This window comes from Homo sapiens, chromosome 5 (genome assembly GCF_000001405.40).
Source record: "Homo sapiens chromosome 5, GRCh38.p14 Primary Assembly".
In the NCBI taxonomy this organism is placed as follows: Eukaryota; Metazoa; Chordata; class Mammalia; order Primates; family Hominidae; genus Homo; species Homo sapiens.
The window spans coordinates 16608792-16631795 of NC_000005.10; the positions used below are offsets into that span (position 1 = coordinate 16608792).

Here is a 23004-nt window from a genome sequence, read left to right on the forward strand (position 1 = left end):
AGTCTAAAAAGATCCTTCCCATTCATGCAGAAGCAACCCTCTCCCAATATAATTTTTTCACTCTGTGCTGAAATCATTAAGTATGATTCTGTAATATTGAAAAAAGTAAGCCCTAATAGTCTCCTATTTTTCTTTAGAGAGATGGGGTAGAAAAATCATTGAATTTAGGGAAAATGGACGCTGCTTCATTACCCAGCTTCAGCACTTATCTAAGACTATGCTAACACAGCAGCTACTAGCCTTGTGTGGCTATTTAAACTTACACTTAAATAAAAGTCAAATGGCATTCCGAGTCCCACTAGCCACACTTCACATGCTCAACAGCCACAGGAAGCTACCATAACAGGCAGTGCAAAGGCAGACTATGTCCATCACTACAAACATTCTATTGAACAGTACCGGTCAACGTCATCTTTGGTGTTCAGTTAACTTTTTTCTGGGCCTCCTGTTTCCTCCTGTGTAAAATGGGAACAACACATGCCTCACTGGGTTCCTGCAAGGTTTAAATACGATGCTACATGTGAACACCCTTTATCATAACTTTAGTAAAGTTTGACTTTACTGAAGTCTGTAACTGTATATAACTGTAACTGTATATAACTATACATATAGCCATACTTTGACAAAGCACTAAATGATATATATTTACTTATTTTTAAGAGTCTAACAACCAGCGATAGTAGCATCTGTAAAAGGGAGTTATTGTCAACTGTAGTAAAGAAATTCTATCTCAGGCTGTGAGGCTAGAAGGACGCCATCCAGGAGGAAGGGAGAGAGTATGCAGCGGCCAGGCCACCTAAGGAATGCTGCATTCCAGGCAGAATACAGATGAACTGAAGCCCGGCCAGAAGGATCTGCAAACGAGACAGGACAGCGGTGAGTGGAAGGGCCCAGGATTTCTCAGCCGGGGAAGAGAAGACTCAGTGGGAACCAAGAAGAGAATGGATTTTGAAACACACAAAGGGCGATCCTGGGGAGGGGCCTACATCCTGGGCAGCTGCGGAGACAATCAAGCAATGGCCTTCATGTAAGGAAAACACTGACCAGTGAGTGCCGCCCAGCAATGGAAATGCTGCCTTATGGAGAAGACAGCTCACAATTCCAGAAAGTGCTCAAACATAATGGTTCTCAAACTGGAACATGTATTGAATCACCTAGAGAGCTGGAGAAAACCCAGATGCTTTGGGCCCACCTGCAGAGATTCCTGTTCAGTGAGTGTGGAGGAGGCCCATGATTTTGCATCTCCAGGTGACACTGGTGATGTGGATGCTGCTAGCCCAGGACCTCACTTTGAGAGCCATGGCTCTAACGCAAGCTGGGGCACCCCATTCAGGCTGGCAGAGAAGGGGTGCTTGACATCAAGTGGGAGGTTGAACCCTGCAACCTTCCAAAACAATTTGACTCGGTAGGTCCTGCTGGCATTCAGGACTGCCTGGTGCCCAGCCTGAGACGCCTGAAAAGTCAGAGTGACCCAGGTCTCCCGCCAGGGGTGCCCCTGCGTGGACACCTCAGGCAAATCACTTTCCTACAGTTTTACTATTTATACCAATAGAAGGTAATGCCATCATCATGCAATGCCACAGGCACTAAGGAAAAAGGCCTATGCATGGACTTTTCTAAATGCCATGGTCTCCAACCATGGGTCCAAAACCAAATCACACCATCAGAGTGAACAGGCAACCTACAGAATGGGAGAAAATTTTTGCAATCTACTCATCTGACAAAGGGCTAATATCCAGAATCTACAAAGAACTTAAACAAATTTACAAGAACAAATCGAACAACCCCATCAAAAAGTGGGCGAAGGATATGAACAGACACTTCTCAAAAGAAGACATTTATGCAGCCAAAAGACACATGGAAAAAATGCTCATCACTGGCCATCAGAGAAATGCAAATCAAAACCACAATGAGATATCATCTCACACCAGTTAGAATGGCGATAATTAAAAAGTCAGGAAACAACAGGTGCTGCAGAGGATGTGGAGAAATAGGAACACTTTTACACTGTTGGTGGGACTGTAAACTAGTTCAACCATTGTGGAAGTCAGTGTGGCGATTCCTCAGGGATCTAGAACTAGAAATACCATTTGACCCAGCCATCCCATTACTGGGTATATACCCAAAGGACTATAAATCATGCTGCTATAAAGACACATGCACACATATGTTTATTGCGGCACTATTCACAATACCAAAGACTTGGAACCAACCCAAATGCCCATCAATGATAGACTGGATTAAGAAAATGTGGCACATATTCACCATGGAATACTATGCAGCCATAAAAAAGGATGAGTTCATGTCCTTTGTAGGGACATGAATGAAGCTGGAAACCATTCTCAGGAAACTATCACAAGGACAAAAAAACCAAACACTGCATGTTCTCACTTATAGGTGGAAACTGAACAATGAGAACACTTGGACACAGGAAGGGGAACATCACACACCAGGGCCTGTCATGGGGTCGGGGGAGTGGGGAGGGATAGCATTAGGAGATACATCTAATGTAAATGATGAGTTAATGGGTGCAGCACACCAACATGGCACATGTATACATACGTAACAAACCTGCACGTTGTGCACACGTACCCTAGAACTTGAATAAAAAAAAAAATCACATCAGAGACGCTTTCTAGGCTGCAGATGTAACATGCCCAAAAGAGGAGCTGCATCATAAGCCATTAAATTTCAATACAGCGATCAGCAAGACTTAGGAAACGGACCTTTCACTCCATTCTGTGCCTATCCAAGGCAACCATCAGGGCTTACCACTTTCCTCACCAAAAACAGACACTTCACACAAAGATTTCTACGTGATGTTTTCCAATAGCTTTATTCATAATAGTCAAACATGAAAACTACCTGAAGGAACATCAACTAGCAAATGGATAAACAAATTGTGGTACATCATCAAAGTGGTACACTACCCAGCAATACAAAGCAGCAAATAACTGATACACACAGCAGAGATGAATCACAAAACTACGCTGAGTAAGCAAAGCCAGACACAAAAGACATCACACACTTTAGGAGGCTGAGGCAGGCAGATCACCTGAGATCAGGAGTTCGTGACCAGCCTGACCAATATGGTGAAACCCTGTCACCACTAAAAATACAAAAATTAGCCAGGCTTGGTGGCATGTGCCTGTAGTCCCAGCTACTCGGGAGGCTGAGGCAGGAGAATCGCTAGAACCCAGGAGGTGGAGGTTGCAGTGAGCCAAGATCGCACCACTGCACTCCAGTCTGGGAGAGAGAGAGAGACTCCGTCTCAAAAAAAAAAAAAAAAGGACATCACCCTATCACCCTAAATAACACCATTTATACAAAGCTTTAGGGAAGTCCAACCTAGTCAACAGTGACAGAAACAGATCAGTCCCCAGGGGTGGGTGCTGATAGAACAGGGATGCAAAGAAGCCTTTAAGGGTGATGAAATATTCTAGATCTCAACTGCCAGTATGGTTACACAGGCACATATGATACATTTGACTGTATACTTACAGTATGGGCATTTTATTGGTGGTAAACCACAAAAAGTTGATATTTAAAAAAAAACCAACATTTTCTATTACATTGGGCTCATTCCATTTCAGGATGTGCTTACAAGTACAACATGGGTTGCTTCTGAGAGGAAACTGCGTAGACAGGGACAGGCGTGGGAAGACATCAAAATGTTTACCCTTCTGTACATTTAAACATCTGAACTGTAAGGCTATGTTAGTTAATTTTTAAATAAATAAAATTTTAAATGAAGGAAAAAATTCTAAAAACATGTTCTTCATTGGTGAAATGAGTGAGATAGTATTATCTGAGGCCCCTCATCACCACAAAACTATGGGACTGTTACCCAATCTACTTCAGTTGTGGAAACCCTGCTTTTTGAGACAGGCACTCTATGTGGCCTCTATTTTACCAAACTCCTCTGAGTTCTCATGAATATCATTTTTTAGCATTTTTTCATATTTCAGTATTTTTCATAAAATATACCATAGATAAGAATGCATATGTGTGTGTGTGTGCCTGCACGTCTCGGATTCGAGAATGTCTTTTATTTTCTTTGTAGTTTTATCCCCTATGTGTGTATCCCTAACCAATCCTGTTCAGTTCCTGCACCATTTAAAACTTAATTGAATCATTCAGCATATATTACTTTGTGCATCTTTTGACCAAAATTACATTTGTAAAATTCATCCCTGTTGTTGCTAAAGCTGTATTTTCATTGTTATATGGTATCACAATTTATAATAAATAAATGAACCACAGTGTACTTATCCATTAAATTATTTGTGGATACTTCTACAAAGTATTTTTTTTTTTGGTCCCTGTTGCCTACAGAAAAAACAAATCCAAACACACAACATAGCATCTGAGGCAACTACTGCCCCCACAAACCACCTAGCCAACCTTATCTCCCACTACATTTTCTACCAGCCCATGCTGCCATTGCATCTGTTTACTGTGTAGTGGTTGAAATATTAGGTACACCTTCAAGATGCTATTGTGTTCATTGTATTCCTCAGGGTTAGAATGCTCTTGATCATCTACTAGATCTCCCAAATCATTCTTATCCACTGAGGTTTAAGCATGATCTCCTTATTAAGAACCCCACAATCTCTTCCATCCACAATACCACGTTCCCCAAAACCATATCAAAATGAATTATCCTTTCCTGAATCTTCCACCACACTTAATTCATGCAACTTTTAGTTATACCCATTGGTTACGGCTGTGTCACAATTTTTGCCCAAAATCTTGCAGATAATGGGCAGGTAATAAATGTTGAAGCTTTTGAGTCAAATTCAGACTCCTAAAACCCACTGCTAATGCCAGGTGCTAAATCATTCAAAAATATATCTTTAAAAAGTTTACTTCCACAAAAATGAAATACATCAATTAAAGTGAAAACAACATCCCATTGCTTAAGACAGATTTGGTTGGGTTCCCCACAGTTTTAAAATTGATCTTTTTTTCTCATAGAAAATACAGTGCTTTAGAGTTCCCAAGACACAGAAGGTTAGAGTATCACATAATTTAAGATCATTTGAGAAGAAATACATTATTTAAAGAAAACGTAATGTCCTTGAAAATCATTTTAACCCCCAGAGCAACAAATAAAAGGGAAAAAAAAACAAAATTTTAATGACATTAATAAATGGGTCATAAATTCCAATGAATTATAATGCAAAAGCAACAAGTAATTCTGAACTTAAAGAACAGGACAGTCATTTTTGTCAAAGAAAATACATGCATGGAATGCAGATGCCACAAACAGGAGATGAAATAAAACAGATAAGGAGAAGGCTGTATCTAGGCTGAATGGCTGGCCAATGTTTTCCTCTCCGTCAGTATAAATAAAATGGATGGAAGAAAACACCCCTGGATACTATCAAATATGCCTTTCAATTATTTTATGCAAAAACATTATTTTCAATAGGTGTCATTAAAGAAAACATCATAGAAAAAAGTTTGCAACTCATGTTACAGAAATTAGGCTAAAGTCTTTAATATAAAAACAGCTCCTATAAATCAATAAGGAAAAGAACACTGGCCTACTTGAAAAAATAGACAAAGGTTATTTATAAACAAACAATGCTGATAAATGGTAAATGTGGTAGTTCTTAAACATAAGATAAAATGCTCAATCACAGAGAACTGCAAAATAAAATCATTTTGGGATAGTCTTTTTCACCTATCAGATTTGCAGGATCAAAAAGTTTCATAAAATATTCTTCGCAAGAGTGTGGCAAAGCAGGCAGTCATACACATTGCTGGTGGGAGTATAAATTGTTAGAACCCTAAGGAGCTGCATGCAATATGGTGACAGCCATCAAAATTACAAGTGCACATGCCCTCTGACCCAGCAATTCCACTTCTGGGAAGTTCTCTAAAATACTTGCATATATGCAAAATGATGCATGTACAGGGTCATTAGCTATAATGCTGAAATAGCAAAAGCTTGGAAACATTACTGCCTCAGTAGGAGACAGGTTAAGTAATTTGAGACATCCTTACAATAGAATTCTGAAGCAGCTGAAAAAGAACAAGGAAGCAATCACCAAGAAATACTAGGAAAAGGAAGAGCTCATATGTTATTCCACAATTTGCATAGAATATGGTGTATTTGCTGAAATGTGCACTATCTGGAAAGAGACACAGGAAACTAGCAACATTGCTGGCCTCCGTGAGGAAACTGGGCGGCCAGGGACTGGGATGAGAAAGAGATTTTCAAAATGCTTACCCTTTTGTACCTTTAAACTTTTGCACTGTGAGACTGTATTAGTTTTTTAAAGAAATAAAATTTAAAATTAAGAAATAAAATGTTAAGGCCGGGCGCAGTAGCTCACGCTTGTAATCCCAGCACTTTGGGAGGCCGAGGCGGACGGATCACGAGGTCAGGAGATCGAGACCATCCTGGCTAACACGGTGAAACCCCGTCTCTACTAAAAAAAATACAAAAAACTGGCCAGGCGTGGTGGCGGGCGCCTGTAGTCCCAGCTACTCGGGAGGCTGAGGCAGGAGAATGGCGTGAACCCGGGAGGCAGAGCTTGCAGCGAGCCGAGATCGCGCCACTGCACTCCAGCCTGGGCGACAGAGTGAGACTCCATCTCAAAAAAAAAAAAAAAAGAAAGAAAGAAAGAAAAGAAAAAGAAATAAAATGTTAAAAACATCGTAAACATTAGTGAGACACAGCCCTAAGACTATTAGACTATTGCCCAATCTAGCATAAGACAATATGTCCTTCTTATTTGAGTGCTCGCATTCACTCCATAATAAGATAGATTTGGAATAAACTCTATTCCAAACACAGATACCTAAGAGATCCAAAGTTAATTCACTTTCAGGGACCTCCGACAAGATACAGCTAGTTTTAAGAGAAAACACCAGGACTAGCAGAGATCTGAGGAAAATATTCATCTTGCTCAAGTTAACCTAGAAAATGACAGGCTGTCTATTTTGTGCAATTTATTTATTTCTCAACTTTAAGGTTCAGAAATCTCTGTCCTGTAACAAGGTATCTGTTACCGGAGTCTGATTATTCTGCACTGTGTAGGTCATGTTTGTTATGAGGACACTTAGCAAACAAAGAAGGTTTTTCTCCGCCCTCAATAGCGTGGTAACGGATGACAGGACACCACTTTCAACGAAGGAGACAGACATTTCCCTGGCCTTTCTGAAGAGCGCTTTTTGGAGAGACAAACCTGTTGCTCAGGGGCTGAGCATTCCCGTGTGTTCTCCCTGTACTTCACCTAAAAATATGCCTGTTTTCCACACTGTGCACACCCGGGGGTGGGTGCTGGGCATACTCCACCTGCTTGTTTGCCTCCCGTTTTCTCATCAGGGAGTAAACACAGTAAACCTAACGCTCCAGGGGAAGGAAAAAACAAATCATTCAGGGCCCATCTCAGGTGACTGATGAATGCGGCACCGTTTTGAACGGGTACCTAATCTGGTCCAGATATGCCTGCTGGGGCTGCAAGAACCAAGACACGTTCAAGCACGTTTGCTCCGGCAAGCTTGGGCGAGCAGGTCAAGACCTCAGAGTTTTAGAAAGCAGGGGCGAAGTTTTCAAGCACGATGGGAACACCTGTAGGTGCAGGTGCCTGAGGGTCGGCCGACCACCTCGCATCTGAGGCTGGATCCGCACACGGAGAACGACAACTGCTCACAGGGACGTGCGTCCGGAGGAAAGTTGCGGTGAGTGTCTACCTGTTCGAGACAGGTGGCCGAGAAAGTGGGGCAGGGCTGACAATTCTTCCTCCGCAGTGTCCCGCGGGCTCCCCCTGCACTGGGTCCCCGGGGCCCCGGGCGCCCCAAGGTCACCTGCCCTCCTCAGCGCCCCCACCTTGCCCAAGCTCTCACCAGAACAGCAGGTTGGCAGCGACGAAGCCGAGCAGGCTCCGCAGCGGCCTCTTCCAGCTCAGCAGCTCGTCGGCGCGGCAGCCCAGCCACAGCACCGGCTCCCCGAGCAGCCAGGTTACCGCGGCCGCCGCCCGGCCCGCGGCCTCCTCCACCTGCAACCCCGCGCCCTCCGCCGCCCCAGCTTCCTGCGCTTCCTCCTCCTGCTGCTGCCGCTCTGCGGGGGATGCCTGGGGCGGTGGCGGCGACGGCGGCGCCTGCTCCTCGGCGGCAGGAGCCGGGCATCCCTCCTCGGCGTGCTCCGGAGGCGCCGGGCTCGCCATCTTCAGCTGTGCTTCCAGACAGGGACGGGGCCGGGCGCGCGCGCGGGCGCGCCTGGGTGTGGGTGCCGCCGAGGGCGGGGCGGCGGTGGCGGCAGGTCCCGGAGCGGGGCGCGCACCGCGGGGCACAGGCGGCTGGGGGCCTTGTGACGCCACAGGCCACGGAGGGGGAGCCGCCCGGGAAAGTGGGTGCGGCCGAGTTCGCGCAGGGGCGGGGCCGGGCGCCGGGAGCTGGGCGGTGTCCCCGGGGGGCTCTGGGTTCCTGGAGGGCCTCTCCGGGACTCGAGGAAAACGACCTTTTCCCTTGCAGCGGCGGGAGAGGGCGAAGTGGAGGACTGCTGCTCGGTTCCGTATCCAAAAGAGACCCAAGGCTCCAGGCAAAATAGATTGGACATTTTCACTTTCTCAAGCCAGGGCCACCGGTCGCCCAACCAGCAGCCACTGAGGGTGGTATCGGGGCGCCCCTTCCCCTGGCAGCGTATTTCAGCCCCCAGAGACATCCCCCACCTCGGCCATCCCCAGCGCCTTTGCAGGGACAGCAGCACAACCATAGCAGAGGTCCTGGGCATCCTGGAAATAACGTGCTGGTATAAATGTTGGATTGAGAAAGGAAGAAAAAACATTTGGGGTCAATTTGGGGCCCTCTCGTTTGACACGGGAGGAAACACAAGGCCGCAGCGTTGGGGGAAGCTGCTTCCTTTCTCTCTCTTCTTTCTCTCTGTCTCAGGTGCTTCCTTTCTCTTCTCTGTCTCTCTCTCTCTCTCTGCCTCTCCCTCTCTCTCCCCCGTCTCTCCCCCTATCTTCCCCTCTCTCCTCCTATCTCCCCCTCTCTCCCCCTCCTTGTGGCTAGGTGATCTGGCTCAGAAGTGCACGTTGGCCCGCGCGTGCGGGGAGCTGAGAAGCAAGAGATTGGAACTTTGCACGTGTCAAGCAAGGTTTGGCCTGCTTTGAAGACAGTAATTTCAGAGCCACTCCGGTCTCTGCGTCACAAGCGGGCATCAGGGCAGTGGTGGGGCGGCAGGGGATCCTGAGACCTCCCATGCCCTCTCTTTGGCCCCGGTGCTTCTGGGTGAGTGTGGGGAGAGAGGAAAATAGTTGTTTATGCTTTTCACCATTTGCATTTTTAAATTTTTGTCTTCTTTAATCTTCCTGGTCTTACTTTTACTCTAGAATGACAGGTCCTTCCCCCCCATACTAAGGGTTCTGTCTGCGGATGCATCAGGGCATCTCATATCCCTTTACTGGCAACCAGCCTGCCTGCACAGGATGGAAGGGAGGGCAATTAAATTCCCTGCGTCAAGGGAGTCTCTAGGGGAATGTTCTGTAACGCTCCTCTGGGTGGCCATTGTAAACCTCTGTGTATACACACGTGGAATCCATTGATCTGTACATTCACTGCAGGTGTCTGCACTTTACTGCTTGTATGTTGTACTTCAAAGGAGTTATATTCCCAGAGCCCAGGCAAAGGCTTACTGAGCACCTACCGAGTACACAAAGCATTGCTAAGCTCTGTGGATGCAGCTTCCACCCACAGGAAGCTCCCAGTCTGATGAGGGCCCAGTTACAATTGTGATATCTGCCACAGCGAAGAAGCCTTCGCTAAGTGCTAAGAGATTCCTTACTTAAACTGTGCATCCAAAATTAGGGGAGGAGTGGAGGGATCAGGTTTCAAGAGCGTTTTGTAATAAATGGCCTCTGCCCTAAATTGTAGGGCCCCCATTAGTGTGGGGATTGGGGACAGGGGCAATAACTGCTGTTGGGAATTCAACAGGAGAGGAGGCATGGGGTTGCAGGTGGAGACGCACAGTTCCTTAAGTAACTCACCAAAGGGAATAGTGGACATTGAATGGTCTCTAGTAACAGGAGGCTTGGTTTTTAACTAAAGGTGATACAGAACATCTGGCATTTCCGACTCCCCTTCTTAGGAGTATCCTGACAACCCGATGGAAAGTGGCCTGGGTGTCAAGGAAAAAGCAACGTGGAAACAATTCAGGTTTCTTCCATATAAGAGAGACAATCTTTTCCCAGGTGTGGGTCCTCCCTCTTGGCAGTAGCGGAGAAGTTTTTGAAAGATAAATGATGCTTTTATTGTGTCATTTGGCCTTTGTTTGGCGCTTGATACAGCCCAGGGTTTGCTATTCTAAAATCTGTCACTAGACAGATGTGTGCTGCAGCCAGTGTGGAGAACATGGGGCAGGAGAGAGGAAGAACCAGGTGTCCCCGTTCCCCAGACCAGTGCTGATGTGCTACCAGAAATGGGTTTGCAAGATTAATCACCTTCCTCCTGCTTCCCTTGAATTCTAATTATTGTTGTCAGGATCTGTTGAAGTAGTAAAAGCTGCTGGCAACCAAGACACATAAAAGCTAAGCTCCAGTTGCTGTGTGTGGTTTCCAACACTTATTTATTATCTCTGTTTAATAATAAACCTCCTTCCCCACAGCTATGTGTTGTAAAGTCTATCCTTTCTCTCTCTCTCAAAATTACTATGGAGAAAATGCTATGCAACCTGTTTTGCATAAAAGGCTGGGCTAATTAACCTTTCCTTTTCACCTCCGACCTCTAATACTTACAAACTGTATGACAGAAGTAGACACTGGCATAGACATACAAATGGTGCTGCTGGGTGGGATTTTGTTGTTGTTTTGTTGTTTGTCTAATGATCTTTGTGATGCTTGAGTAATTTATTCAGGGCTAAGATTACAGAAACATAATGCTAACAATGGTTGAAATCAACCTTGTCCCCTAGTTTTAAGAACACGCCACATTCTTGAACTCCTGCAAGTAATCTTACTAAGATTCTCTTCTGAAATTTTATTGCTATATATTAGGAACAGAGTGATTAACACTAGTGAGCTAGATGATTTGACAATATATATCTGAGAAAAGGAAACTGGAAACGTGTCTGAGAAAAAAAAAAGTTCTAGCTACTGAATGAGAGTTTAGAAAATGAGACAGCTCCAGTAAAGAAAGTCCAAATGCACATAAGAACTCTCTAACAGAGGCCACTCACTTTTCTCATCTAAGAGTATGTGGAAAGCTTGTAATAGGAGAGGAAAAATTATGAATAATTAATTCCCACTATAGGAAGTCTCCTAGGGCAAAATCAAGCTAAGACTTAGAATGATGGGGAAAAGCCCCCTAGTCATAATATTTTGGGGAAATTTCTTTTCTCTACAATATTATATATTAGAATCTTACAGTAGCTCCATGATTCCTTAAACAAAAGGAGGCTCGTTGATATGGTTTGGCTCTGTGTCCCCACCCACATCTCACCTTGAATTGTAATAATCCCCACGTGTCAAGGGTGGGACCAGGTGTAGGTAATTGAATCATGGGTGCGGTTTCCCCCATGCTGTTCTCGTGATATTGAGTGCTTGCAAGATCTGATGGCTTTATAAGGGGGCTTCTCCCTTCACTCAGCACTCATTCTCTCTCCTGCCACCCTGTGAAGAGATGCCTTCCGCCGTGATTGTAAGTTTCCTGAGACCTTCCCAGCCATGCGGAACTGTGAGTCAATTAAACCTCTTTTCTTTATAAATTACCCACTCTCAAGTGTTTCCTCATAGCAGCATGAGAATGAACTAATACACTTGTGTATATGTTGTATCGTTTATTAGCCTGCAGATAGAATTTTTTTTGTGTTGGTACTTTTATTAAACTAATTCTACCCTCCTCCCCTTGCTATATCCTCTGCTCCTTATTCCTAAGTTTCCATAATTTTCTTCTCACTAAGAAAACCTGGATAGTTCACTCTAAGCACAGATAAATAAGAGTATCATACAGCATCAGCAGGCACAGAGCAATTGGAAAGGAAGGAAGATCATCTCCCGGGTCTCTAACCTGGCTTCCAAGGCCCAGCCCAGTGCCTGGCTCACAGAAGGAATTCACTATTTCTACTTATGTTGAATGTCTGTTGTGCATATACAGACGGAAATATTCAAACTAGCATAGTCTGTGTTTGACAAGCATTCCATAAGGGATGTGCTTACCAGAAAGATGGTGGCCAAGATGTTGGCCACCCAGATATCAGTTGGGGTATTGCTCCCTAATACCTAAAAGAAGTTTTTTTTTTAAGGCTTCAAAATGGTTAACTGAAAAGAACGGAGGTCACATGACAACATGAGTATATCCCCCAAGGAAGCCTACCTGTCTATCCCCAGGTACACACACAAACACACGCACACCTATGATCCACAGGGGTGACTGCAGGACATTAACTTCCAACCCCTTCCCAACAGGAATCTGAACCAGCAGACAAAGCACTGTCGGGTCCTTGCTGCAACCTCTTCCCCCCACCCCCTTTGATGGTCCTGGTTCTGCATCATTGTACTTGCGTATCATTCACTCATTATTTCATTGCTTCATTCACTAGTCATCAGCCATTCCTGAAAGACTGACTGTGGGCTTCTGGTAAGATGAACAGGACTGCTTATTTCTCTCATGGTGCTTAGAGTATAGACAATGGATAAAGACCCTGAAGAAGGCGCTGGGCAAAGGGAATGGGGAAGCATGGTGTGCACAGTCTGGAAGCAGGAGAGGAGCCAGCCTGGCCCTGGTTGGAAACCTGGAGGAGATCTAAGCTGGAGGATGGGGTGGGAGGAGCAGGAGGCTACTCACAGTGGGGCTCCTCCTGTATGATGCTAGAAGCTTCTGCTTTGTCCTGAGAGCAACAGGGAGCCATGGGTGGGCTTGCAGCAGGACACAGAGGGGCTAGCCTGTGTTTTAGAAAGGTATCTCCAGACCATGGAGGATATAAAGCCTGGCAGAGGGAAGGCACTCTCAGAGACTTTTCCCTTGTCATTCTCTAGAATGAGGGAGGAGAAGGAGCCAGTCTGGAAGGGAGGCTGACAAGTTTCATTTTTAAAAATTGATCTGCACTTGGATATCTCTGGAGATGCCAGTAAGGTTGTTGGGTACAGAGGTCTGCAGCTCAGAGACCAGCAGGCATCCTGAACAAGACAGATCCAGGCAGACGGAATGGCCTGTAGGAGAACTTGGCAGAGGGCACAACCAAGAAGAGTTCAAAGGCGCTGGCCAGTTCCATGCGACTGCATGGGGTCATGGTATGTGATAAGACTTTTGAATAAATAGATCAAATAAAAGTTTTAAGTATCAGCGACAGAATTTTAGAAAAAAACTTTGAGCAGTAGAGATTTCCTAGAGTTTGTGGGTTTCTGTGTTGTTATTGTTTGTTTTTACCAAGGAAGTGATAGAATCAAAGCAGTAGTGTCCTGAGGTCCTGGAAACTCCAGCCTGACTTCCATCCTTGAAGCAAAACTGTGTTGTGATTCTCTCTAAATTCAGGTCTCCAAATCAGGCCTCCAGTCTCAAGGGGGTATCTTCCATGCTAAAAATAGATGAGTGGAATGCAATGGAATAGCAATGAAAGTGACATCCCACAACCCTTCCAAGTGTATATTTGGCTTGTCACCTGTTACTAATTTTAGTTCATTAGAAATCAGGCACAAAATCTGGCGATGCTTGAGGCTTTGAAAATGGCTGCAGGCCCTGCAGTCAGACCATGTCACGGGTGCACTCTTCGGTTATGCATACATGCTGCAGTCGGGTGTTTGCTTATGGGGAACCCATAAGCACTGTGAAACCCGAATGTCTCCCGAACCATCCAAGAAATACGGCTCTACTTATTATAGTTCACAGTTCAGTATATGTGCTTGTAGGTTAATTCACTGGAAATGGATGCTCTCTCTACCTCTTGCTAAATAAAAATTAGAGGAGGATGGCCAGGTGTGGTGGCTCGCGCCTGTAATCCCAACGCTTTGGGAGGGGGACAGATCACTGGAGCTCAAGAGTTGGAGACCAGACTGTGTAACATGATGAAACCCCATCTCTACAAAAAACATTCGCCTGTAGTCCCAACTACTCAGGAGGCTGAGGTAGGAGGATTGCTTGAGCCAGGAAGGTGGAGGCTGCAATGAGCCATGATCGCACCACAGCACTCCAGCCTGGGTAACAGAGCAAGACCCTCTCTCAAAAAAAAAAAATATAGGAGGCCATTGTTTGTTGCTGTTGTTGTGAGTGCAGTAGTGAGAAGGGTGGAAAGAGCTGAACAAGGGGTTTGATCTGTAACTGACTGCGAACAATCGGTTGAGGTAACTCACTACCTTCAGACCAGCCAGGAGGCTACTGTTTTGAACTAAGCTCCTGCACTAGGCCCCAGCAGACCAGACCAAAAGTCAGAATGAAGTCACTCATGCTGAGGTTCCACATTGCCAAGCCAAACCTGAGTTGTTAACCGACCTCCAGAGTAATCCAGAACAATCCGGAGACAGAGAAAGCCAAATTTCCCAAACAGGCCAGTTTCAATTTGCATGGTAAGAAGTTTCCTCTACTCTCTCCCTTCCAAGAGAAAGTGACCTGATGTTAACCAATCAGTTATTTCTCTACTGTTCTGTTCCCCATTTCCACCTTGCAAGGAAAGTAACTTTGAAATGACCAATCTGCTTTTCGGTCTTTGTCCCTGCTTTCTTCAGCTTTCTCTGGATGAAACCACCCTCCTCTACTCAGCCCGTTGGAACACTTGTTCTGTTCTATCGAATGAAGTTTGCTGGATTCTGGAATTACAAATAAAGTCAATTAAATTTTTTTTTTTTTTTTTTTTTTTTTTTTTTTTTTTTTTTGTGAGACTGAGTCTTACTCTGTCGCCCAGGCTAGAGTGCAGTGGTACAATCTCGGCTCACTGCAAGCTCCGCCTCCTGGGTTCATGCCGTTCTCCTGCCTCATCCTCCCGAGTAGCTGGGACTATAGGCGCCCGCCACCACGCCTGGCTAATTTTTTGTATTTTTTAGTAGAGACGGGGTTTCACTGTGTTAGCCAGGATGGTCTCGATCTCCTGACCTCGTGATCCACCCGCCTCGGCCTCCCAAAGTGCTGGGATTACAGGCGTGAGCCACCGTGCCCGGCCGTCAATTATGATCTTAAAACTAAACCTGTGATAAGGTTGTCCTTTGACACTCTGAACTGCTTTTACTCCCAATACTTCTGGCACCAAATATGTGAGTTTTTCCATACCAATAACCAATTATTTAATTGTCTGCACACCAGCTGGGTATCAAACAATTCAATTCTGACACTACCTGGTCTAACCCAGCAGCTCCCGTGGGTTAAGGGCTCAGCCCCACAAGACTACCCCCATTTCAAATGCCAACCACAAGTCCTGGACCTCCCATACTTCTGATTGACTGGCTATAAATCAGAGGTTTCCATGACTCCCACTTCAAGCTTGATAGATAGATAGATACATACATACACACACGCATACACACACGCATACACACACGCATACACACACGCATACACACACGCATACACACACGCATACACACACGCATACACACACGCATACACACACGCATACACACACGCATACACACACACACACACAGAGTCTCACTCTGTCACCCAGACAGAAATGCAGTAGCACGATCATGGCTCACTGCAGCCACCACCTCCCAGGCTCAAGTGATCCTCCCATCTCAGCCTCCAGAGTAACTGGGCTCACAGGTGTGTTCCACCACACCTGGCTAAACTTGTATTTCTTCTAGAGACAGTGTCTCTCTATGTTGCCCAGGCTGGTCTTGGACTTCTGGGCTCCAGCAATCCTCCCACCTCGGCCTCCCAAAGTGCTGAGAGTATAGGAATGAGCCACCACTCCTGGCTCAAGTTCAATAATTTTCTAGAGCAGCTCACAGAACTCAGGGAAAACAGTTTACTTACTGTTGCTAGTTTATTATAAAGGAAATTATAAAGAATACGAGTGAACATGCAGATGAAGAGGTACATAGGGCAAGGTCCAGAAGGGTCCTGAACATGGGCACTTCAGCCCCACTGGGGAGTTGGAGCGTGCCACCCTCCTGGCACGTGGATGCGTTTGCTCACTCTCCCAAAAGCTGCTTGTACCCCTTCATGTAAGGGTTTTTATGGAGGTTTCATTATATGGGCATAATTGATTAAATATTTGACTGTTAGTGATTTCCAAAACCTCCAGCCCCTCTCCTCTCCCCAGGGGACCTGGGGGTGGGGCCGAATGTTCCAACCTTGTAATCACAAGGTCAGTTCCTCGGGCCACCAGCCCCCATCATGAAACCATCTAGGGACCAAGGAAGAATCGTAAGTGTAAACTCAAGAATAGTTGACAGGGACTTATGAAAAATAAATGATGCTCTTCTCATCTCTGTCACTCAGGAAATTCCAAGGGTTTTCAAAGCTCTGTGCTAGGAACCAGGGAGGATGACCAAATATGTATTTCTTTTTATATCGCAATATCACACTTCCCTATTTTTACTCTCACTCCTGCCCCTCCCCTGCCCTAAACCAAGTACTTTGGTGTCACATGCAGAACTATGCCATAAAAGGCCTACGGGGGCTCACTCTGGGTTGCCTGGACAAGGTCCTGGATAGGACAGAAGGCCTTTCTTCTTTCTCCAGGGAGAAGAGATACACTTAAACCAGGGTCCCACAGGCTCAATGGGTCTCCTTCCAAAATCAGCTTCCAATGAGCCCTCAGATTCTCCAAATACTGGGCAGCTGGATTTCCCAGACACCTTCTGCAATCTGCTGACATCTAATATACCTGTAGACTGTTCTCCTGCTGACAAGGTTGTTCTTGCTCTTATCCTATAAAGAAGAGAGGTGGCAGAGAGTTGGAGGGGAGGGCCTCCTTCCCTGGCATGTCCATCCGAGGGTCTCCAAGAACATCCTGGCTGTGGCCCACACCTTTCTGTGTGGTTAGGAGGAGTATCGGATGCCTTCTCTTTCCAACCTTGGCTTGTAAGTTTCCCCCAATAAAGTCTGTTCCTTCACCCATACCATGACGGCTGTTTGATTCCTCACAGCTTCTTTTGGGGAGGATGGGGGAAAATCACAGAGACTCTTTGTACAAGAGGTGGCATTTGCAACAGCTCTGTGAACTACAGTAACCCAAAGTCCCCCAAACAAGAAATATTGGAGCAGTTTTGATTCTGATCTCTCCTTCATTCTCTCATCTGCAGTAACCAGCTGTATATCAAGTTTGCCCAAGACAGTGCTGGTTGATGCCCACCTTCTAGCATGGTTATTAATAGTGCTTCACTTTCTTTCTCAGAGGTGTCCGAGTTTGGATGAGAAATTATATGGGCTCCGCATTCATCTCCAACCTATCAACAGCTGCTGATAACTCCTTCTCTGAAGTGTTCTCACCTCACCTAGCCCTTTTTCTCCAGTCTCAAGGCTGCCATCCCTGTTCAAGCTTCAGTGCCTGTCATCCATCTGAACTGCATCAGCCTCATATCTCCTCTTCCAATCCTCCCTGTACACCTCTCCTTTAAAACAGTGCTTTCAACCTGTAGCATCCACCCCCAAGCGCTTACAACGATGCCCAGTTTCCTAGAACTGCTACACCTAAAAGAAATCACCAGCCGCCTTCTAAAGCTGGTTCATCCGACAAATCTCTTTCTAAAAGCTGCATTTCTCACTGCTCCCAAATGTGAACACTCGGCTATTGTCAAACTAGCTCATCTCTGAGTTCACTCTCCAAGCAAACTTTCACATCCATGCTGTTGCTCATGCTATACTATCTTTCCTTGTCTTTTCAACCTTCTGGAAGCCCAGATCTTCTATCTGCAGTTCAGCTTGCTCTTCTTGCATGAACCCTAAATCAAGTGGAAAAAGCATGGGTTTCTTAGTCATGAGGATCTGAATTTGACCCTAGATCCATCACTACCCACTGTATTTCACTGATTATAAGACATACACATTTTTTTTCACTTTTAACATACCTGGAAATGGAATGTACTTTAGAATCTTAAGCATCTTAGATTCAACAAAGCATAGTAGCCTGTGACTTTGTGTTATGTGACACAGACTCTCTGGGTCTCGGTGACCTCGTCTTTAAAACAATTAACATTTAACCCTCGAGACTGCTGTGGGAATTACTTGGAATAACCGCAGTGGGAGACCCAGTGGCAGAATATCTCTGTGAGAATTTGTACCCTGAACCCAAGCATTTTATAATGACTTTCTCTTGAGAAGACCTGGGCCACATGGAAAAACTGTTGCAACTGATACCAAAGTTTGTGTCATCGAATTTCAAAACAATTCTCTGCAGTGTACAAAGCCAGAAAGAGAAACCAGCCTCATTCATGGGTGGTTTAACCACAGCTCTCTGCAGAGAACTCTGTTCAGAGGAAATAGCTAAAGGGGCCATTTCTCCAGGGGTCATGAGCCAAGTAGCTTTCTGTTGGAAAAATGTTGTTTGATGGACAAAGCTACAAAAGCAGCTTTGTCCTTAATTCTTCAGTAAAAAATCTTCTAAAGCTGATTTTATGTTAAAAGTCCACAGGTAGGTTTCTGAAGAATTGGGTCACAGGTGCATGTTTTAATAACATCCAGTTGGACAATTTCCATCTTCTTTCTCTATAAAAGTCTGCCCACTCCAAGAAGGCACTAGCAGCCAGATGCCTGAGGTACAATCAAGCCGACTGGCAAGGGAATCTTTCCTTCCACCTCCCTTTGCCGCTCCAGTGGGTGAGAGTCCCAGCTCCAAACTCAGACCATTGAGGATTGTGTTTACCTCTTGCTTTTAATGTGGGTTTTCAGTGAAGGGATCTAGAACATAAGATGGGGGAGGGAGGGCAGGTAGAGAACCCTGTTACTGCTGTAGTGTAGGATTTGAATTGGAGCTATCAGTAAGTGGGAGATCATGATCTGATACTCTAGCTGTGTCCCTGGAAAAGCTTAGAATCAATAATGCCCCATAGCAATAAGCTTATGTAGGAACCAGGTTTTGGTTTCTGAATACTATTGCCTGCCAAAAAGAACCAGAGCTCCTTAGAGAATTGGCAAATACTAGGTCAGAGTTAGGAACATCTTGTGTATCAGAAAGCAAAGACGTGTTCACAGACCATTTAAAAGTCCATGTCAAAAAAATACAGAAGTCAGCTTGGAAAGGATCCCACTGACCAAATCTGAGAAACTTTGAGGATCAAAAAAAAAAAAAAAATCCTGGGAAATGATTGTAATGCATTGCATTTTTAACATTTCACGACTCTATAGTGATTCTCAAAAGACAGAAAGGACCAGTCTGGGCAACATGGCAAAACCCTATCTCTACAAAAAATATAAAAATTAGCTGGGCATGATGGCATGTGCCTATAGTCCCAGCTACTCAGGAGGCTGAGGTTGGGGGATCACTTGATCCTTGGAGGTCGAGGCTGCAAAGAGCCATGATTTCACCACTGTACTCCAGCTTGGGCGACAGAGTGAAACCCTGTCTAGAAAAAAAAAAAGAACACTTTCTTCTTTATAAAAAATTACAATCTAGCATGTGTAGGCTAAATTTTGGATTTAGGAAAGCACCATTTTGTAACTCTCAGAGTAATAATTGATTCAAGCAATGATCATCAATGAATAATATCACCCACTGGGAGAAAAGACTGTGGGGGAAAGGCTGCTTACAGAATCTCACAGGTTACTGCTTAATTACAAAGGCAAAAGCGTGCCTTTGCATTGCCATCTGTCAGCCTTCACCTCATCTGCCTCCCATCATGCATGCCATGACAATTATTGGAGCAACCTGACCCTGTGAATCCCTGGTCTGATGCCATGGGAGGGACACCCATAACACAATTTGCTGGAAGCATCTGACCTGAATCAAATCCTGGCCAGATGGTCAGAGCACTCTGGAATGTGGGCTGTTCTTTTTTTTTTTTTTTAGGTGGAATTTTACACTTTTAGCCCAGGCTGCAGTGCAATGGCGCAATCTCAGCTCACTGCAACCTGTGCCTCCCAGGTTCAAGCGATTCTCCTGCCTCAGCCTCCTGTGTATATGGGATTACAGGCATGTGCCACCACACCCAGCTAATTTTTTGTATTTTTAGTAGAGACGGTGTTTCGCCATGTTGCCCAGGCTGGTGTTGAACTCCTGACTTCAGGTGATCTGCCCATCTCAGCCTCCCAAAGTGCTGGGATTATAGGCGCAAGCCACTGCGCCTGGCTTTTTTTTTTTTTTTGAGACAGAGCCTTGCTCTGTCCCCCAGGCTGGAGTGCAGTGATGTGATCTTGGCTCACTGCAACCTCTGCCTCCTGGGTTCAAGCAGTTTTCATGTCTCAGCCTCCTGAGTAGCTGGAACTCCAGGCATGCACTACCACGCCCAGCTAACTTTTGTATTTTTAGTAGAGACGGTATTTCACCATGTTGCCCAGGCTGGTCTTGAACTTCTGACCTCAAGTGATCCTCCCACCTCAGCCTCCCAGCGTGAGCCACTGCGCCCAGCCAGGATGTTCTACAGGCCTTCAAAGATTTGGAGATCAAGAACAGCAGAGGCAGAGTATGGGGAAAATAGAGACAGAACAGCCAAATCTAGGTGTCAACCTTGATTGGATTCTGGGTCAAAAGCTACCAAGGACATTTTGGAGGACAATTAGGAAACTTTGAGTCCAGACTGCATGTTAGATCATTCTGTTGAGTTAATGTTGATTCTCTTATCAGGTGTGAAGATGGTGTTATGGTGATGTAAGAGGACGGCTCTATTCTGAGTGATGCAAGATCCAACATTTAGGCATGAAATGCCATGATGACAGCCGCCTACTTTAGCAAAAGGGAAGTTGTGTGTGTGTGTGTGTGTGTGTGTGTGTGTGTGTGTGTGTGTGTGTTTTTACGCGTATGCATATAAATAGAGGAAGTCGCTGCAGCTAGATGGTGAATCTACGTGAGGAGTATCTGGCTGTTCCTTGTACTGTTCTTTCAACTTTCTGTGGGTTTGAAAATTTTCAAAACAAGACAAAAAATGTTTTTCAAGCACTGTTTGAGAGGATAGGAAATAGAAATGGCTCTTATTAAAGAGCCATTCAGAAGACTGTTTTCTTCTATTTCCTTTTCCCCCACGACTATGACCCTCAGTGCCAGCGATTTCTCCTTTCCATAAACTTTTGTTTGACCTTAAATCATTGTGACACCACTGAGCAGGGAATCTCAATAATGGCTGACATATCTGGTAGCAAAAGGAAATGAAGTATTTTTATTTTCTCAGGGAACTAAAGGTTATCTTCTAAATTCAAATTTTTTTTTTTTTTTTTAAAGATGAAGTGTTGCTCTGTCACCCAGGCTGCAGGGAAGTGGTGTGATCTTGGCTCACTGCAACCTCCGCCTCCCAGGTTCAAACAATTCTCCTGTCTCAGCCTCCCGACTAGCTGGGACTACAGGCGCGGGCCAGCACACCTGGCTAATTTTTGTATTTTTAGTAGAGAAGGGGTTTCACCATGTTGGCCAGCCTGGTCTCGAACTTCTGGTCTCAAGTGATCCACCTGCCTTGGTCTCCCAAAGTGCTGGGATTACAGGCATGAGCCACTGCACCCAGCCTCAAATTTCTTATATTGAGCTTCAACTATGCAAGATCCCATGAGAGGAATGATATACCAAGATGAACAACAATATGGTCTCTGCCTTCAAGGGGTATAAAATCTAACCCATACAAATGGGCTCCCAAGCATTTTTTGAGTGGTTATTATGAGCTAAACAAACACTAGGACTAGGGATCCAATTATTGAACAAGATACAGGGGCCATCAAAAAGTTCCTTTTCTTTTGAGAAATACAAATATATTAATTTCAATATATTACATAAGGTTTATGATAAGACCTTTATCATGTTCTAAAAATTATAACCAAGAATCTAGCAACAGTTTCTGAACAAAGAGTACCTCTGAGCCATGGCTTGGATTAAAGTTCAGAGTATTTTTCAGACAAAGCAGTAGGCATTGCAGGGAGATGGAACAGAGCATGCAAAAGCATGAGGGCATGAAATGAGCATGAGGTCTTTGGGGATCAACAACTAGTTAAATATGGCTGGAGGGTGGGTACTTGGGGCAGTAAGAGAGACAGAGCTCGGAACTGCAGCTTAACTTGGGCTAGTAGATAAAGAGCTTCCATCCTATCCTGAAGAGTTTGAACTGTATCCTGAAGGCAATGGGGAGCCAGGAGGAGACTTTGGAGATAAATGATATGATCATCAGGTGCTTATCTTAGATAAGTCTAGTGGTGGAGTGGCAGGAGATTTGGAGGGAGATGAGCCAGCAAGACTTGGTTAATAGTTTGTAATAGTGCTGGTGAGAGATGCTGAGCACCTAAACCAAGATGGGAAGTAGAGACAGAGAAAGGGTGGATGCAAGAGACAGTGTGTAGATTGCAAAAACAGGGCATGGTCACTGAATGAATGCTCGAAAGTGACAGAGAGGGGTCATCATAGATGATGTATTATATTAGGATTCTCCAGAGAAACAGAACCAATAGGGTGAGAGTGTGCGTGTGTGTGTGTGTGTGTGTGTGTGTGTGTGTGTGTGTGTGGATTGAGAGAGAGAGACAGAGAGAAAGAGGCTCTCTATTATAAGGAAACTCCATTGTGGGTGTGCTTGAGTCCAAAACCTGCAAAGTAGCTAACAGGCGAGAAATTCTATCAGAAGTTCATCTTGCAGTCTTGAGTTCAAAGGCAGTCTGGAGACAGAATTCCTTTTTCTTCAGTGGAGTTTCAGTGTTTTCTCTTAACATCCTCAATTGATTGGCTGAGGCCCACATATCTTACGGAGGGTAATCTGCTTTCCTCAAAGCTCACCAGTTTGAATGTTAATCATACCTAAAAAATACCTTCACAGCAACATCCAGACAACTAGGGACCATAGCCTAGCTAAGGTGATACGTAAAATTAACCGTCACCTTTAAGACATTGGTTATATTTGGGTGCCATTAATAATATATGGAATAGAGGAGAAAAGATAACTTTAAGGGAGAAAAAGAACATCAGTTTCAATGTTGAATTTCAGCTGGCGATGTCCAGTG

The 23004-nt window shown here is 44.9% G+C and overlaps 1 protein-coding gene and 1 long non-coding RNA gene across 3 annotated transcripts in view, besides 1 other annotated feature; one reads left to right on the forward strand and one right to left on the reverse strand.

The window, feature by feature from the left end:
• RETREG1 (reticulophagy regulator 1) overlaps positions 1 to 8206 on the reverse strand; it is a 143945-nt gene extending 135739 nt beyond the window's left edge. For both annotated transcript variants that reach the window (NM_001034850.3, XM_011514053.4), the window contains exon 1: positions 7861 to 8206. In NM_001034850.3, coding sequence (NP_001030022.1) covers positions 7861 to 8180 — 320 coding nt within the window. In that variant the 5' untranslated portion in view covers positions 8181 to 8206. The remainder of the gene's footprint in view (positions 1 to 7860) is intronic.
• Positions 7135 to 21178, forward strand: RETREG1-AS1 (RETREG1 antisense RNA 1). Its single transcript, NR_109946.1, has 4 exons — positions 7135 to 7695; positions 12987 to 13241; positions 16624 to 16965; positions 20663 to 21178. It is a non-coding gene; the product is annotated as an RETREG1 antisense RNA 1 (long non-coding RNA).
• Positions 7960 to 8449: a silencer, noted in NCBI's record as "silent region_15947". NCBI's record gives its function as "represses an Ori minimal core promoter by ATAC-STARR-seq in GM12878 lymphoblastoid cells {active_cell/tissue: GM12878}" and the evidence as "EXISTENCE:reporter gene assay evidence [ECO:0000049][PMID:35858748]".
• Positions 21179 to 23004: the final 1826 nt, after the last annotated feature.